The sequence below is a fragment of the Homo sapiens genome, chromosome 7, assembly GCF_000001405.40.
Source record: "Homo sapiens chromosome 7, GRCh38.p14 Primary Assembly".
Classification (NCBI taxonomy): domain Eukaryota; kingdom Metazoa; phylum Chordata; class Mammalia; order Primates; family Hominidae; genus Homo; species Homo sapiens.
The window spans coordinates 115,131,791-115,151,760 of record NC_000007.14 but is presented as its reverse complement, the minus strand read 5'-3'; the positions used below and the strand labels follow the sequence as shown (position 1 = coordinate 115,151,760).

At 37.9% G+C, this 19,970-nt stretch overlaps 1 long non-coding RNA gene and 1 pseudogene across 1 annotated transcript in view, besides 1 other annotated feature; both read left to right on the top strand.

The window, feature by feature from the left end:
• LINC01392 (long intergenic non-protein coding RNA 1392) overlaps positions 1 to 19,970 on the top strand; it is a 107,757-nt gene that overhangs the window by 79,595 nt on the left and 8,192 nt on the right. The gene's annotated exons all lie outside the window — the stretch shown is intronic.
• RAC1P6 (Rac family small GTPase 1 pseudogene 6) lies at positions 14,599 to 15,185 on the top strand (annotated as a pseudogene).
• Positions 15,572 to 15,621: an enhancer, noted in NCBI's record as "active region_26525". NCBI's record gives its function as "activates an Ori minimal core promoter by ATAC-STARR-seq in GM12878 lymphoblastoid cells {active_cell/tissue: GM12878}" and the evidence as "EXISTENCE:reporter gene assay evidence [ECO:0000049][PMID:35858748]".

Genomic DNA, 19,970 nt, shown 5'->3' with positions numbered 1-19,970 from the left:
TACTGTAATGGCAGTGTGGAGAATGTGTTAGCATAGCACAATACCAGAGACTATAGAACATGTAGTCCTGGGGGCAGATCCAGGGGTGGTGGCTACTGAGGCTTAGACAATTTGGAGGCTCTCCATAAAATAAAAAATACATAAAATTCTAAGACCAGAGCATTTTCAAAGGCCTTTGGAAATACAGAATGCTAAAGCTAAAGCTTTATTAGTGTAGCAATAAATTAGCCTCTGAAGAAACAGTTAAATACCAGTATGGACCTGATCATGGTAAACTGATCCAGAATAGTAAAAGTGGGGATGGAGAGGCTGGGCAGATCCAAGAGATGGTAAGTGGGTAGAATCACTAGGACATGATGCTGCATTATGTCAAGGTAGAGAAAGAGGATTTCTGGCTGGGTGGATTCAAGCATCAGCCTCAAGAAAGAGGGAACACCTCTTCTTCTACAACAACAGGGAAGATGGAAAGCTTGAGTGGAGATAGATGGGCATGAATTCCGTTGGCAAGTTGAAGGTTCCCACATCCAATGGCGAATCTGTTTTGAAGAGAATTGCAGTATAAGAGGACAACACTATTTCAGGAAAGAGGGAGAAGACAGAAATGTCAGTACTGCACAGAAGGCAAGGAGGATGAGCATGTAGAAACATCTCATTTCTGAAGGAACCACTACAGGTTTGTAAAAGAGCAGATTCACGCAATGAAAGGGAGAGAGTGTGGATGGGAAAGTGAATAAAGTATGCATCGAGTTCAGCCAACTCTTTGGAGACTTCTGCTGGTGAGGGAAAGAAGAGTGATGGAACCATAGTTGGACAGGAGCTGGGGTTGAGTAGGGCATTTAAAGAAGAGCTGATGATGACTAGGTGAAGAGGCTGAAGAAACATGCAAGATTAATTATCTTAACAGCAGCACCACATAAAAGGATGGGACTCAAAGCACAATGGGTAGGGTAATCCTCAAGTAGAAGGTTACGTTTCTGATATAACAGGAGAAAAATAAGAAATTATAGTTGTTCATGCAGTTAAGTCAGTAAGGAAGGGAAAATTAGAGAGTTCATTTGTTTTTGATTTTTGTCTGAGTCTAGAGTCAAAGTCATCTGCTGAAAATGAGACTATGGAGTAGAAGGGATGGAGGCAGAAGTCAGAGGCTCATAGAGAAGATTTGAAATAGGCACGAGGGGAAATAGAGGGAAAGCTAAAGAAAGGCACCAGAAGAAATGGCAGGCAACACTGATGACCAGATGAAGTTAGAAACCAAGAATTTGTGGTGGCAACAATTCATGCAGTTGTATATCTGTATTTGTGTCTTTCCAACCATTCATCAAGTGATGTGTTGTTATGAAGAAAGCATATAACTGGATTGATCCAATGTTGAAATTTTACCTGGTGGATAAGACAGACAATGGCTCAAGAGTTCTGAGGATACAGACACAGGATGGTTACAAAAATGGACCATCCCATTCAGTCAAGAACAAGGAAGAAATGAAAGGTATATGTAGACTGATATATGGGGAAGAAGTAGAAGAGTAAAAAGACAAGATATTCCTAAGAAAGTGAAGGTCAAGAAGAGAGTTAGGGCTGGGCACCATGGCTCACACTTCTATCCAAGCACTTTGGGAGGTTGGGTGGGGTAGATGGATTACTTGAGGCCAGATGTTCAAAGCCTGGGCAACATAGCAAGACCTCGTCTCTCAAAAACAAACAACAACAACAAAAACAGCCAGGGAAAAACATATAGTGCATGCCTGTAGTCCTAGCAGCTATGGAAGCTGAGGTAAGAGGGTCACTTGAGCCCAGGATTTAGAGGCTGCAGTGAGCTATGATTGTGCTACTGCACTCCAGCCTGGACAACAGAGTGAGACTCAGTCTCTGAAAGAGAGAGAGAGAGAAAAAAAAGAGTGGGTAATTTGATGAAAAGTTAGAAAGACAGAAAGTTGTTATCTAGTAGGGAGGGTTTCAACACATTACTCAACAGGAGGAACCATTACAAGTATTCTGATGTCCGGAATGTGGTTATAGAGGTACCTGAAATAAACTGGGTGTAAAAGTCAGCAGAAGGAAGACAAAGAGGAAACGTGCTAAAATATTGTATTTAAACATTGATGCGAAAATTTACGTCATTCCAGATGATGGAAGGAGTTGCATTGGTAAGGAAAATAGTAACTCAGGTCTAAACACCTGAGTGATTGGTAGTCTGTAAATTGGTTGAAGCAGGCCAGGCACGATGGTTTCTCACGCCTTTAATCCCAGCACTTTGGGAGGCTGGGGCAAGCAGATCACCCAAGGTCAGGAGCTTGAGACCAGCCTGGCCAACATGGTGAAAATCTGTCTGTACTACAAATATAAAAATTAGCTGGACATGGTAGCAGATGCCTGTAATCCCAGCTACACTGGAGGCAGCGGCACGAGAATCCCTTGAACCAATAAAGCAGAGGTTTCAGTGAGGCAAGATCGCGCCATTGCACTCCAGCCTGGACGGCAAGAGTGAAACTCCGTCTCAATAAATAAATAAATAAATAGGTTGAAACAACTAAAGAGCTTTAAAGGACTGAGGATTTTGATTTTTGTGGTGGGGGTGGGGGATGATCTGGATGGGACACTGGGAAGTACGGAGGATGCTTATCCCACCTTAAGGCATTTGTGGTGTGAGAGAATGTGTAATCTCACTCAAATGGGCAATCCTGAAACCTCTAACTGTAGGGACTGCTAGGTGTCTAGGATGATTAAGAAGGAAAGGAAACATTCCACGAAGGGTTTAGGGATGCAGGAGTAACAGGATTCAGTTGGCCAAGTGAAATGTGTCAGGAGAGAAGTACAGTGGAAACAGGAGCCAGACGAGGTAAAGCACAGGGCAGTATGGGAAAGAAGGTACTAGGGACAGAGTAAAGGTATTTGAATATCCAGTGATGGCAGGAATAGCGGGTTTATTTGTTTCCTAAAATATTCTGATGAGGTAACCATGGATAGCCAGACAATGGGCCAATCCCAAAGGCATTCAGATCATTTCCAGTAGAAAGGAAAGCAGATAGCAAGGAGAAAAATAAATCAGGTTTCTGAAAAAAAGATGACAGGGAATCAAACAGATTTTATGAGTTCACCATTTGGTTTAGGAGGATACCTCGTTGTCATCCAGCCTTTGTTAATTCTTTTTGAGACTCAAATAATAAAGTAACTGTGATTTGCATGTACTTTTTTTTTTTTTGAAACGGAGTTTTCACTCTTGTTGCCCAGGCTGGAGTGCAATGGCGTGATCTCAGCTCACTGCAACCTCCATCTCCCGGGTTCAAGTGATTCTCCTGCCTCAGCCTCCTGAGTAGCTGGGATTACAGGCATCCACCACCATGCCTGGCTAGTTTTTGTCTTTTTAGTAGAGATGGGGTTTCACCATGTTGGCCAGGCTGGTCTTGAATTCCTGACCTCAGGTGATCCACCTGCCTCAACCTCCCAAAGTGCTGGGATTACAGGCGTGAGCCACTGTGCCTGGTTTGTACATACTTTTTAAGTCAGGCTTTTCATATGTTACATCTAAAATCAATGTCAAAAAATATCCACTCACTGGATCTTGTCACACAAACTCTTGTCATCAACCGCGGCATCTCATTGTCCTCAACCTCTTAAATGAACTCATTCATTCCAATCACCATACTCTGTTCCCTGGCTCCAGAACACATCCTCTCTTTCTTTATTCCTGGTCTAGGATATTTGTTATTGTCTCTCTGCTTTTCCAAACTCCACCTTCTTTCAGGATCAGGCTCTAGCACCCAGTCATCCATAAGCCCTTCCCTGAAGAGCAGCCCTCAGAGCATTTTTTAAGTCCTATACATGTAAATGATTTACATAGGTAAATGTAGTGATCTACATAGATGCTCCCTTGCCTTGTTATTTTACCTTCAATATATGTCCCCTGCCTTTCCAAACAGACTGTAAACCTCTCAAGGGCAGGAGCCGTATCCTATGCCCTTTCCCATCCTCGGTTCACATCATGGTGCTCTCCCATAGCAGGGTTGCAATATAATTGCTATGTTGCAAGAGAATTGGGGCCTGTGCATTGGGCTAGAAAAAATGCCTTAACCAAAAGAGTGCCTCTCAGGAGGAACTTCAGGTTTCATAGCAAGCTAGTGAACTATTTAGGAGCAGAATGGCCTTTTTATATCCTTTAAATTATACAAGTTAGTTAGAGGGCCAGCCCTGGCAGGAGGAGGATTATCATAAAATGTATATTTAAAAATAAGAATAGTTATATTTTGAAAATTTAATTTTGAGTCTTGCTAACAGTAACCTTATGAGAAAATACCCAAGTAAGTATTGGGCACTTCTTTTGAGTGATGCCATTAATATTTACTAAATTAATGAAATCTGAAGATTCAGTCCTAATAATGGCATGAAAGTTGCTTTTCATCCCAGGATGTTCTTTGAACAACTGCCTCACATCTGAGCACACATCCGTGCTTACAAAAGGAAAAAATAAAAGGGAAGATGAGTAAAGCGGCCACCTGCCTAAGCCAGTCTGGACGTGAGCACTTTGTGCTGAGCAGCTGCTGTAGAGCTTCTTCCTCACAGCTGGAAAATGACTGTAGATTAAGGGGGTGATCACACAGCTGGCTAGGGAGGTTGCTATGTCAGTACCCTCTAGTCCTCTCCCTTGGCTCTGCTTACTTAGCTCTGGCTATATCAGGAATGGCAGGTGCATGAAAGAATCAAACTCCCCAGAAGACAATGGTCAAATCAACTGTGAAAGTTTTCGATGTATGTATAAATTCTTGATACTTTCTTCAGGGCATAGGCTAATACCCCCAGTAATCACTCTTCCCAGACCACATTTTTAAGGTGAGATGTAGGATCAAACAACAAAATATAATATAAAATTAAAATTAAGATCCAAGAAGCTTAGTAATGAATTAACATCTAAAATTGGGAAATAGGTTGTTTCCTCTGGGGCTGTATCCTCTGAGTTTTTTGACACAAATTTCAGGCAATAGAAAATAAATGGAGACTAATAGGACTCGATTTATAAGTTAGGTTAATTTAAGAACTTAAAGAGACAACAAATGCACAAAAAATAAAAATGTGGAGCAAAAAAATATGCTCAGAGTTTCCATGAAGCTACCACTTTAACACTGCAACAACTCAAAAATATATAGTTGTTATGTGAAAGGCACACAAGGAAAGGGGGCTAGAATGGAATGGAAATGTTTAAAAATAAAATTGTTATTCACACAACAGGGAATGCACGTAAACTCCTGCTACATAAAGGTATTTCCATTATCCAAGAAAATACAAACATTTATCTCTCTGCTCTAAGGCTACCTGTTTGAATGCACTAAATACCTACTTCTGCCTCCAGGCTACTGGCACAGAATCAGGTCAAGAGGTATGAGCACTTACAATTTTTTCCTTCCTGTTTAAAGAATTATGCAGACATATTCAAAAAATCTCCCTCAGACTCCAGTTTTTTTAATCTAAACTTAGGTTAAACCTGAAAAACTGGTTTCCTGTCACGTATTACTTTCCGCCCAAATGCTGGTTTACTACATCATGTAGGTGTTCAGATTTGAATTCTGAGGAGAGAATGTAATAGTCTCTAAAGTTTAGTAAAATAAAGTTTTCATGGGAAAAATTAGTGGAGGAAATATGAAGCTAATAAAAGCAATTATGGGTAAAAATCTTTGTGACTTTGGAATGAAGAAGGACTTGTTAAGATCCAAAAAGGCCAGTAGGGCAAAGATTAAACCAAAATTTAGAATTTCTGTTTGTCAAAATTACCATAGACTAATGGTTGACAGACCAGGAGGGTGGAAGAACTTTTCAAAACCAAGAGTTAATTAGGAATTAATATTGGCACCCCAAAAGAGTTTCTTACAAGAAGTCAAGGAAAAGACTGGAAGCCTGATAGAAAAAAAAAAAATGAGCAAAAGACAGGAAGAGGAATTCAGATTGGAATGCAAATAGCTGAACAAATATTGAAGAATTGCTCAACCTAATACTAGAAAAAAGTTCAAATTAAAATACCCCTTTATATCCATCAGAGTCACAAAAATTAGAAGTTGAGTAATACCAAGAGTTAGCCAAAATGTAGAAATGAAATTAGCACAGTCATTCTGGAGAACAATCTGGCAGTATTTAGTAAAAATCAGAGTGGTGTAACCAATGACCTAGTAATTCGTCTCCAGAGTATATCCAGAAAGAATCACTCACACGGTTGCCTAAAAACACATAAGTAAAGTATGGTAAATGCATACCATAAAATATTATGCCTTGCTTAGAAGCAATGAACTAGAAATACAAATAAACATGGAAAGATCTTAAAAACATAGTTTAAGCAAAAGAAAAAAGAAAATAAAAGGTCTAAACTATCATGCCATTTATACAAGTTAAAAATGCATAAACACATAAAATATGGTGTATAAAAGAAAAAAGTGAAATCTATGGAAACAAATGAGTGGCTTTAAGAAAACTCCAGTACTTAAATATTGTAAATATTAATTAAGGTTAAGCTCACATTTAATCTTAAAGCACTATAGTTATTATTATATTTTCTCATATTCCCTACTGTATAGTAAATGTAGAGTGGTAAGCTGTATTCGTTTATAGAGCGCATTCTTTCTTTAGGGAGAGGTCACAGCTCTTCTAAGACCAGGATTTCTGGGGTCCCACCTTTCTCAATTCTGCTACAGGAAAGCAAAAGCTAGAGGCGATCTGAGTCAGGGACAGAGTTGAACAGAAGCTTTTACCCCTACTTTCTGTGAAAATTTATCACTCTGAAAATTTTTCGAAAAGTTAGTAAAACTTATTAAATATCCATCATAAATAAAGTCTGTAAAATAGGGATTATGTCACTTTGTCAAAACTATCTCTGTTTTGGCAAAAACAGAAATAGTGTTTGTCACTACAAAAGTTTTTCACATCCCATGTCCAAATATATAACAAAATTTTATTAAAATTTATTAAATTTATATTAAAATAAGTCAACAGTCTATATTGTAAATCGACATGCCATGGAGTAGAAAGCTGAAATGCAATAAATAAAATTAAATACATAAAGACATAAAAGAGCCCACACAGAGAAAGCATTTAAGTGCAATATAGTCCAGTAACGCTTATAATGCTGACTGCAGTGCAATAAACTTCTTCTACCAATCAATCAACTACATAGAAATAAAGCTGCTTTTATGACTCTATCCCATACTTTATGCACATAAACTCCAAAGAGGTATTTGAGCTTAAGAAAGAAGTTTGAAGCAATATCCAAATTCATTCATATAAAGTGAGGTAAAAGTTGCTATACATTTGGAAAATAAGAAGTACAATAAAATTTAATAAGAAATTTCCCTTGAACATTGGTGCTTAAGGTAAATTAAATTAAATTTTTAATTATAAGAGGAAGAGGCAGTAGAAGATGTCATTATAGATTCTGAAGAGGACCCAAGATATTTTAAGGGTTGATGTCATTGCTTCCCGATATTGTCTAATTTCACTACAAAAGGTAAAACTTTAATTTTATTTAATGAAGACATATCATTAGCTCTATTCTTGTACTCACTTGACTTGACCGGGATCATATGGGATTTCCAACTAGCAAAAGGGAGAGAGAATAAAAAGAGAGATGCAATTTTTCTGTGGCACTAACTGAGAAAAATCCAAAGGAAACAATGGAGAGATTGAAAATGCTTAAGAAGAAGTGTAGTGTTTTAGAAAGCAGGTCCCTAAGTTAAAGGGCCAACCCCATCCTGTCTCCCTTGCTTATTGATGATTAGAACTTCGGCAAATTATTTAGCCCCTAGTGACTAGTCCTGCAGTAGCTGTTTCTAGAAGATGAAAATGCAGGCTGGGAGATACCTTTCTTTTTTCTTTTAGATTGTAACTAGATTGTAATTAGTGTGGCTGAATCTAAATATCTCATCCCCTCGCAGAGTGTTAGAAATATATTGGTATTACATTTTCTGATTACATTTTCTGACTTACTGTACTTCTTAAACATAGTGATCATAGGTCATTTTTACATCAATATGCTATAAAATAAATTTATTTAAAATAAATATGAATAACTAAGAAAGAACAGCAATCAGCAATTCAAAAGCAATTAGAACTTAATAATATTATAAAATATTTGGGAAGCATATACAATTGACTTGGAAGAGAGTACTTTTAGAAACTAGATTGTAATTAGTGTGGTAATTTTGTTGGTCACAATGTGGGCATAGGAAAGGAAAAACATGGTTGATCAGTACTCAAAAACATGTACAGGACAGTGCTCTGTACAAAGACACTCGGCCAAGAAACCAGGGGAGCTGAGTGCAGCCCAGATTTCACTGGCCAAATTGCACATATCCCTCAAAGGTGCTTCATTTTCTAATTCATTCAAAGGTATCACAGAGTGCAATATATGCAGTACAATATATAGTACAGAAGTCCTGTTTCCCATTTAAATACCAGAAGACAGTTTCTAAAATTCTCTTTTTCTTAAAGAGCTAGTAAACACTTAGCCAGAATATATCCTCCCTTGCAAAAGAAGGATATTCCCAGAACCTGATGGAAAAGTATATCAGCTGTGATCTCTTTTCCCCAGATTAAATGCCTAAAAGTATACCACCTGGAGGTCCTTTTCTACCAGCTTAAATGCGTAAAACTACAACACCTGAAGCCCTTTCCCCAAAGTAGCATACGCTCCACAAAACAGGTGAGCTGGGTCACAGCATGATTATTCTCTATATTTAGGCCACCTTGTTACTCAATCCTAACTCAATATTACCATCAAATCAATCATGTTACTTTCCATAGCAACAGGCATTAAATCTGAGTATGTAAATAGACTTTTTGTTCTACTGTAGTTACTGTTGAAAAATGACACAGTTTTCTTAGGCTCAAGGATGCCTCAGCCCATCAGACCTGTATCATATCAGCCTCAGTGTCACTGTTGTCTGAGGTCATTGAACTGTACCTTAGGCTCTTACTCTGCGAGAAAAGACAATAACCACTCCCAACCACTGGAAGATGCCATTCTGACAATGGGCTAATTCAAAGTAATGGTACCCTCCCTACCCCAGCTTCTGGGAGTTATTCCCAAAAGTTTTGTTAGTAATGATTTTGTTTGATAGCTGATAAAATTTCTCAAATGAATTTATAACTTTCTTCTCTCAATATTTTAACTACGTTTTGGACCTTGGCTCAAAGTAAACTCTGAATCTGACCTCCTCTTGATCCAAATAATGACTCCAAGCTCAGCAGTCTTCCAAATCAACCTAAAATAAATACTAAAGTTTCATTCTTTCCCATAAAGATGTAGAACTGTGTATTTTTATGTTATCATATTTCGATATCTCTACCAATGTATAATATATGTAATTATTTTAAACAGAATATTTAACCAATCCAAATATCCCATTTCCTCACAGAGTGTTAGATAATACACTGGTTTTATGTTTTCTGATTTATCTCATTTCTTTTCATTAAAGCTTTTGGTTTTTAAGGACTTATTTTTCCTTAGCTAATTCTCCAATACGGTCACAGTATTCAACACACTACAGATGATCAAGCAATGCATGACACAATGGCTGACAGCAGCAGATGCTTTGGAGCCAGAAAAACTTCTGTACTTAATAGTCTAGATTCATAATTTACTTAAATAAGCAAGTTAATTAAATTATCTAAGCCTCAGTTTCCTTTTCTCTAAAATTGAAAATGTAATACCTTGGAACAGGTCTTGGCACAGTTTGTAGCTGTTTTACCCCTAGAGACAAACACCCCATCTGGGCAACTGTGGCTATAAAGGGTACTGGCAGAAGTGGGAACAGTGGCGAAACCAAAAATTATTTTTAATCCTCAATAATTTGGAGAATAAGTCATTCAGTAAATTGATTTTTAGCAAATTAGTTTTAGGCAAATTGGTTATTTGGCAAATTGGCTTTCCGCAAAACAGTTGTAAGCTAATTGGCTTTCTGTGAATTATTTTACGTAAATTGGTCTGTTTCCTCTCTAAAGTAATGTTTGAAATTAGTGGGCATTACTTCTCACAAAATATCAGTGGCCTCAATAGGTTGAGGTTTAATAAAAATAGTATATGTCAATAGCGACAGCTCTCTAGGGATATCACAAAAGAATCCAGAAGTATATCTGTTTCCTTTGATTATCAGTAACAAATTTTGAGGGGAAGGTTCTCTCCTGCATTCCCGAATGCTTGAACCTGATGGAAAAGTATACCAGCTGTGATCCCTTTTCCCCAGATTAAATGCATAAAAGTATACCACCTGGAGGTCCTTTTCTACCAGATTAAATGCGTAAAACTACAACACCTGAAGATCCCTTTCCCCAAAGTAGCATACGCTCCACAACACAGGTGAGCTGGGTCACAGCATGATTATTCTCTATATTTAGGCCACCTTGTTACTCAATCCTAACTCAATATTACCATTAAATCAATCATGTTACTTTCTATAGCAATTATTAGGATGGTCAAAATAAATGATTTCCTCCATTTCTCCCTGATAGAAATAGCCAGTCTATGTCCATTTTTATTCATTTGTTTTGCTCCTATTCTGTTGCCAAACTAGCTGTTTTAAGCAATTAATTTCTGAATTTAAAGTACTTGGGGGAAAGACAAAAGGGAATCAATCTTCAGGGGAACAAATATTTAGTCTCTATTGTAGTGAATTTTGGTTTTGCTTTCTGAAAAGTTATTAAAGATTTTCTCTTTTTTTGTCAACCAGCAAAATTCCTCAACCTTCCTCTTCTTTTTCTGGCCCCAGAGCTTCTCCCATGTGTTTGGAACTGACCCTCAGCAGTGATTGTTCCAAGACGTAGGCCATGACAAGCAAAACTGACAGTACTGTCCTAGAATAAGTAAATGAAAATTTAGGCAAATAACCTTTTTACCAGGAGAGCTAAGAGAGACTATATAGAGAGTGCAACCAAGCAGAGAGCTGCAGAGATGGGAGATGAACGAACAGGTAGTACTAAATCAGGTAGTACTGGATTCCTGGTTCCAGTCCTTATTGAATATTCATCTTTGTATTAGTCCGTTTTCCTGTTGTTATGACGAAATACCCGAGAATGGGCAATTTATAAAGGAAAGAGATTTAATTGACTCACAGTTCAGTATGGCTGGAGAGGCCTCAGGAAACTTAGAATCATCGTGGAAGGGGAAGGAGAACGGGAAGGGGAAGCAAGACACCTTCTTCACAAAGCAGCAGGAAAAACGAGTGCCAAACGAACGGGGAAGAGCCCCTTATAAAACCACCAGATCTCGTGAGAACTCACTCATTATCGCAGGAACAGCATGAGGGAAACCGCCCCCATGATTCAATTACCTCCACCTGCACTGTCCCTTGACATGCGGGGATTATGGGGATTACAATTCAAGATGAGATTTGGGTGGGACAAAAAGCCTAACTAACCATATCAATCTTTGAAAGAACAACTATCTTAATATATTTCCTGGCTACATAAACCAATTCCTTCTTCCTTACTCTGGTTAAGTTGGGTGTCTATAAATGGCATATAAAAGATTAATTAACACTATGTTTATCTAAGAAGACAGAGCATACCCTGCACCCCCTCCAAAGCTGGTAAAAAACCTGATCACAGAAAAATCCCCATCTCCCATGAAGCAGAGTACACGAAGCACCTTCATCAGAGTGGAGCCTCAGAAAAGGGAGAAAGTTGGTGCAATGTGTCAAGTCCCATGGTTTGGAAGGGACCAAAGATGACTATGTTGCATAGCTATACAAACATTAGTCAAGATTTTAGTTGATCTGTCTTTAGTTGATCTTTTTCTGGCTGGAATAAAAAACAATTTTCCCTCCTCACTATGACAGAATCCCTCCTTTTTCTGCACAGATAGCAAGAAATATGGGTATCTCACTGTGATACAGAAATGAAAGGATTTCCCACATGGGTCAAAAATACAAAACTCTTCTACATATGTGCACAATGTGTATGTTTATGGAGGTTTGGGATGAGATTATTAAATGGTTCTCCTGTGGAGGCTGCAAGTCATGAGCCTGCTTCTATGGAAGGTGAGTTCTCTCCTGAGGGGTCCTCTGTCAATTAATCACCAAGAAAAAAGTCTTTAAACAAGAAATGTGAAAGCAAAAAGAGGCAGCTTTATTTCTGCCTCTAGATTGTTCTATTGACTTTGAGAGTTCTAGATGTTTGTAAAGGTGTTTCCACGAAGCAGTGGTCAAATATGTCTTCCGTCATTTAGGGACAGGCATATAGGGAGCTACAAAAGAGCTGTGGTATCCTTGTCAGAAAATACAAGCTGAAAATATGTTCTTTCCCAGAAGCCAAATAGTCTAGTTCATGCTATTTAAAAAAAAATTATTTCCATTTTGTTATCCTTTAATAAAGTTCTGTCTGACTGCCTGATTTCAACTGCACTGCAGGTTATAAAGGTAAAGATTACACGTTCACAGTTGAATCAGAGTGGAATACCCAGAACAACACTACACCCTCTTCTCAGGACAAAATTAGGATAAGAGTTAGAGTTAGGAGTAGAGTAGGGGTAAATATGGAAAAAATCCCCCAAAAGAAGACCATAAAATCTACCTTCCACTATTCAATAACTGGTCTACTTCTTTATACCAACCTTGAGAAAACTTGGTTTTCTTTTATGTAAAAGAGAAAAATGGGCCATTATCCTAAGTGAAGTAACTCAGGAATGGAAAACCAAATATTATATGTTCTCACTTGTAAGTGGGAGCTAAGCTATGAGGACACAAAGGCATAAGAATGATATAATGAATTTTGGGGACTTGTTGGGGGGAGGGGAGCAGGGTAGTGAGGGATAAAAGACTACATATTGGGTACAGTGTACACTGCTCAGGTGACAGGTGCACCAAAATCTCAGACATCACCACTAAAAAACTTCTCCATGTAACCAAAATCCACTGTAGCCCAAAAACTTTGAAATAAAAAATTTAAAATCTATTAATTATTGAGACACAATACCATGCAAGTTGCTATATACTCCACCACTATTTGTTAGACTATAAAGGACTAAGAAAAATACTGGCTAAAATTTTGTTTAAAACATTGTAATTATTTTAAACCATTGTAAAATAACAAATAAAAAGCCTTTTAATGAGTTCATTATGTTTGGGGGTATGTTAAATGTTATTTTCCAATTACATGATTAGAATGAAAAAGTCAAGTTTCAATGCAGTTACTCCATTATTATAAATGAGAGCTAGAGTTGCCATTGGCTTTGGCTAAGGTCTCTTCAAAAAATAATCTTCTAATGCATCATAAATTACAGTAAATTCCTCTATAATTAATACTTGAGGATGAAAAATTGTATGCATTCATTAAATTTGAGTAAATTATGGTATATTATACATAAATTTCCCTTTCTGTTATTGTTTTTGAAAGGGAAGAAAAAACAGCTGAAATCCTGCTACAGTGGGTTTTTAACTCTACCTGCTATGCAAACATGCACAGACATCTTTAAAAAAATGAAATGAAAACAAAATAGGCATTTTCTGGTCTAATGAGCCATTTCCTTCAAAATAAATTCCCCAAATGGAAGTATTACATGTCTCATGCTAAGCATAAAAATAATGCTTTATGTATTTTCACAGTCATTGCAGTATCTCACTAATATACAAACTTTTGAGATTCAAGCGTAAAGCCACAGCAAATGTTCTAACAACTGGATTCTTCACTTCTAATAATAATAGCCCTTTAACCAAGCAACATGAATAAAAGCCTGGGGAAAACAGAAGTTTAGCAACAGTTGAGTCTCCCACTGCTGGAAATAATAGGTATTTTCCATGGGTTGGGTTTTATTTGTTACATAATGTCTCAAATTTTGTCACTTCAGTAAGTTAGGAGATTTTCAGTTGGATTTTCTTTAGGTTACTCACAAAATACCTTGCCCAAATGTCATCATGAAAGCAGCAAAAGATGGTATTGAATAAAAGTAACAGTGTTTACCTGATTGACTACCTGGCCCTACCAATCTCCCAGTGTTGTTGTAAGGATCAAATGAAGCAGCATATACTTAAAGAGTTAGTAAACATTTCAGAAATGCAGTCAAAACCAGGGCCAGTGAGACATCAGGATGCTGTTGTTAGGGGTAGTCACTGGAAGGACACACAAGAACATCTGAGATGCTCACAACGTTTTATTTCTTAATCGTGATGCTGATTACATGGGTGTGTTTGGTTTGTAAAAATTCAGTGAAGTGTACCTTAATGTGTGCACACTTTATGTCTGTTATTCTTCATGAAATTTTTTAAAAACTTGATTCTAACATGAGATGATCTTGTCTTTCAATTGTGTCAAAGTTGAATGCCTACAGGGGCTAGTCAGGACAAGTGAATGAACATGCCCGGCTGGCCTCCTTTGAATGGATGAACAAATGTCCTATCTAAAGGAGCACTATGGCTCAGCTCCATCCTTTGTGGTCGTGTGGGACTCACATGCCCTGTGGTGCTAGACTTTCAAGAAAGGACCCAAATTCAGATTTTGCACTGTGAGCACCCAGGGACAAGGAGGCTGGCTGCTCTTGACCTCAGTGTTGTCAGCACTAAGAATCAACCTCCATGGTATAAGTCATGAAGTATGAAGTGGCAAAAAGGGAGAGTCATAGGCAATATCCCAACAATGATCAGTTACCAGCCAGTGAATTTCCTGGAAGCTATCTCCACAATCACTCGGACAATTGTTCTGGCAATATGATAAATGGAAAACCATTGTCCCTGGGCTTATGTACTACCACTGGACAAGAAGACATGACAGGTAACACTAGATGATTTCTCATCCTGCCCACACACAAAAAAAATGTTTAAGTTGCTTTTCTAATGAATCTCCTATGATTCAGAAATATGCAAAGCAATATTGTACAAAGACATATTGTGAAGTAAGGCATCATTGTTCCAACAGTTCCTTTATTCTAATGGCACATGAATTTGATGTTTGAGATGATAAGGATGTGATATTGACAAATAAGAAAGAGAGGAAGAGGAGGAAGGAAAGAAGGAAGGAAGGAAGGAAGGAAAAGAAAGGAGGGAGGGAGAGAAGGAGGGAGGGAGGGTGAGAAAAGCTGACCCTAATCAAGTGTATTCAGAGTGTGGTTACGGAAAAGGGAATTAATGTAATGCCAGGCTCTCAAACAGGAAAACCTCAGGAGTATGCTTGAAGAAAGTAGTATATCAGATTTTGGCCCACCACTTGTGAAGATAAGGAAAAAATACAGTATTCTCTCCTTGCCCATGGGAGATACTTTCCAACTGCCCCCAATGGATGCCAGAAGCCCTAGATAATACCAAACCCTATATATAGTCTGTTTTTTTCCTATACACATATACCTATGATAAAGTTTATTTTACAAATTAGTCACAGTAATAGATTAACAACAATAACTAATAATAAAATAGAGCAGTTATAACAATATATTGTAGTAAAAGTTATGTGAATATGGTCTCTCTCTCAAAATATCTTACTGTACTGTGCTAACCTATTTTCAGACCACTTTTGATCACAGGTTACTGAAACTGCAGAAAGCAAAACCACAGATAATGGAGGCTACTGTATTTTCTGTAGCTGTTGTCAGAGTTCCACCCTTTCCTGCTCTACACCACCCAGGCTCTCTGCATGCTTTGCTCAAGATGATGGAACTTTCTGCACTCAGTGCCAATTTTTAGTTAGATTAGTTTTCCCTAAAATCATTTTTGTAGCAAACAGTCACTTCCATGTTTTATTTATTTAAGGTGTGAGAGTTTGAACTTTTCAGCTATTAAAATAATCCTTTGAAGATAAGCCAAAATTTTTGAAAAGGATCCTGTGAAGGCCAAATAAAACAAACCTGCTTTGTTGATCTTAATTACTGTACTCTTTGAGAAGATGCAAACATTCCAGGCTCCCTTCTCAAGTTACGCAATGCTCCTTTGCCCTATTCTCAATATAATGGGGAATGGTTGAAGGGGACTGTAGAGAAGCCATCAAGTGACCTCCCTTCCCTACTTTTAAGACTAAAGTGGTCCTCACTGTATTTCACAAATATATACCTACTGTTGAACAAAAACATGTTGAATATTTATGTCAATAACAAATATTAATATTTATGGCATCTTCCAACTCAGAGCTACCACATCACCCTAACAAGACGTTTTTATTTATGACAAATCTTTCATTTTGTTGTCTCACGTTTAACAAAAATTCTTAAAAATGAATGTATTTGGGTTTGTATGTTTATTTTAAACCACAAGTAATGTATGGTGAAGAGTTGAAAATAGAAGAAATTAGGCATATCGCCACAAATTTTGATGTATAGCCTTCTTTATTTTAAGGAAGTATACAACGGGCACAGTTTTGCTATTTCCTGAAAAGAACTGACTCTGGTGGTTCTGCTCAGCAGCGTTTTTTTTTCCAGCTCAAAATAGAGGATTTCCTGAGGTGAGGGTGGATGAAAGTCTCTCCCATGCTGTAGAAACAGTAAAAGAAGGCTGTGTTGGCCACTGGAGCCTATGCAAATACCAAGTGGGCAAATTACCAAAGTAATTAAACATGCGAAGGAGAAGTATCTACCATGGTATCCTGTTTGAGAAGAAAGCAGAAAAACATATTTTAATATGAAAACAAATTCCACTAGAAAATAGTGATTCATCAGATTATAGGCATTTGCAGAAAGGACAGTAAACCCTAGTAATAATAAGCAAATATTCCGTTATGGCTAAAGGAAGTCTATAAGTCTCTGAAACATGCAAAGCAACACAGACTGAATCTTTCCCAAGAGAAGCAGCAGCGAAGTTAGAAGGAGAAACAATGACAGCACAAAGCACTGGAGAAGGTGACCAACCACAAACAAAGGGAGATTCAAGGTAGACTGAGACACACACCAAGCAAAGTTAGTAAAACATTACAACCCCCCCGCTAAGAAGATGCGTATTTTTTAAAAATCATTTTTACATTCACAATGTACAATCTTCCCATTTCCAAAAAGGACTTGGTGCCATTAAAATTCAACACATATTTATGAATTTTACCACAGTTATTTGTAATTTGTTGTATATTTTAAGCTGAGCTAAAAATCTCATTGAAATTTTTATACATATTGAGATAGTTGTTGATAATTCATTTCATCTTAACGTCTTATAAACTGTTTGTAGGTGATGTGCCTACCTTGAGCAGATTCTGAGCTTTATTCTGTTTGAAACATGATCAGATAAAGATTCAATGCCCATGTGCAATAGATATCAGACAATGACAAATATTCTAGCAAAATGTCTTGACCCAGTCCATAGCAAGTTGTGTGACAATGAATAGGTCACTATTTCTGAGACCTTGTTGCCTCATTGTTAAGATATCGATACCTTCATTGCTTGTCTCACAGTTGTGTTTTAGAATCAAAAGAGAAAAAAATATACAACAACACAGAAAGTATAAAATATACAAATACAAATATACAAGCATAATTAGTGTCCATTAATACAAATATTATGTAATTAGTAACCATTTTTCGAGGAGTCCCATCCTAAATGAACCCCTTGCTTTGTAGTTTATTGGGCAGGTATTGTTACCAGGCATTATTCTATGCTCTTTACAAGCATTATCATATTTAATTTCTTCCAGTGATATTCTGAAATAGCTGCTTTTATGATACAGAGGAAAAAACTAGACATAAAAAGTTAGATAGCTTAACTATGGCTAGTAGTTAATAGAAACTGGAAACAAGCTCAGGCTGGCCTGATATCTGTTTCGGCTAACCACTAATATTTGCTGCTTACAATATTGTAAATGCTCTATGAGTGCTTATATAATATTATAGCTATTAATTTGCCCATCAGAACTTCTTGTAGCCAAATGAAGTTTGCAATAGGTATGATTTTAAGCCAAATAACTTGAATCCTGTTAACTTTCCATATCATATCAACAATCTAATCTATAAGCCATAACTGTTTTCCTAGCACTATTATTTTATTATATTCAACTTTGATAAGGAAATATATTTAACTTTAAGAACAGGACAGAAGTAAGACTTATTAAATGTCAAAAAGTAATGGAAAGTAAATAAGATGCTACTCCAATAGGAGCTAGCTTAATTCTCCATGCTCAGCCCATCACTCAGAAGAGTGAGTGCTCAGTAAACAAGCATGGCACCAGACACCAAGATAGAAAGATGAGCAAGACAGGGCCCATGCGCTGAGAACATCACAGGCTAGCTGCATAAAGAGACATGTAAACAAACAATGGTAACACAGTGGGATGCTTACCATAACAGAAATAGGCAATGGGAACCCTCAAGGAAAAGCGCATACGTGCAGCCCAATGGGTGTGGTTAGCAAATGCTTTACAGAGAATACAACACTTGAGCTGGGCTCTAAAAGAGACAAATATTGACAGAGAGAGATGAGAAGGATATATCAGGCAGAGGGAATTTCATGAACAATAGTACAGAGGCATAAATGTAGACAATGAGTTTGGAAAATACTAGGCAGTGGGAGAAAGTTTCTCATGGGCATCCCTTTTCCGCATGTCTCATGAGCTAACGGAGTTTAAATAGGGTTCATGGAGGTGAAAGAAAGCTAATATGACACTATGGGTGGGGCCATTTGGGCCAATTCAATGTTTTTTTAACATCTGAAGGTACAGTAGAAATTGATATGTTATATGCTTGTGCCTCATCCCAAAAGTGCCAGTGGAGATTCTTCTGATTAGGAAGAGCTGCATGTAGAGAAGTGCTGGTATCGTTGGAGCCCCACAAATCTCCTCATCCTTTTGAGCTTTAAGTTTCTGTGGCTAATGATTTAGCCAATGGGAGCCTCTTTCAAAGGGTAGCAACTTCCACCTACATCACCTTCCTGACATGACTAGCAAGTACTTCCTGTTGAAAACCATATAATACTTAATGCTAGGTTCTTACCTACATGGAGCACTTGATCCAAGTAGGCCTTGCAACTCTTTGACCTGATATTGGGGTGGGTCAACTTGGGCTCAATAACTTGGCTTCAATAATAAAAGACAGAAAGGACCTAACAGGCCTTCCTTTTCAAATGGAAATGAAATAGCCAAGAACAGAACCAAGGTATCTCAGCTTTATATGAAACAGAGGTAGCCTTCCCTTTGGGGGAAACTTTTTCCCCACTCCAACACATTTGAGACAGAGTTGCTGACTCAGTGGGGTTCTTGATCCACAGAGATCACCCTAAATGTCTAGGTCTGGTTCACAGATAGTTTGGCTAAACAGAATCATGATGTTGTCCACTGGGCTGCTGTGGCTGCCCAACCCAGAACCATCTACACTAGTACCAAAATAAATTTGGTCTTTCTGCTGAATGGGCAGAGCTCAAAGCTCTGGCCAGTACTTTGCTTGATGAATCTTGGTATATTTTTTACAACTCCTGGTTTGTTGCCAATGGGCTAGATATTTGGTCTGCTGCTTGGAAAACTGCAGACTAGCAGATTAAAGACACTGCTCTTCAGAATTGCAAACTGTGGAAAGCAACCATGGATTTTGATTAAACTGTCTTGGTGACTCATGTACACGCCTTAGTAAGTGTCAGCTTTTGATGAGACCAACTGGAGTCAAACAGCTGATACAGCCTGAACCACTGAGATTGCCATGATTGCTGCCTGAACCCCTTATGTTGATGGAAACACATCTACAATTGCAAGACAACCACAAAGTAAAGGACTCTATGTTGCCTACCACATGCCAGACTTGTGGCTCCTGCCAAAAGTTGACCTCTTTATCTCACAGTGAGAAAGGACATATTGAAAGCGGCATTGCTCCCTCTCACTCCTAGCAGATTAACTACATCAGACTTTTGACCACCTTCTTGGGGCTGTTGGCCATGTCTCACCACTGAAACACAGGTTAGAGTGTTGATATACTTGTCACGTCCACTGACTCTGGCTATAACATTATGGTCCTTGACACTTTCTGTGTCATATATTTGGCTTTTCAAAAAATTTCCATTATGACAACTTTTCAGCTCTTACTGGAAAAGCCACTCCATACTGGGCTTATAGTCTAG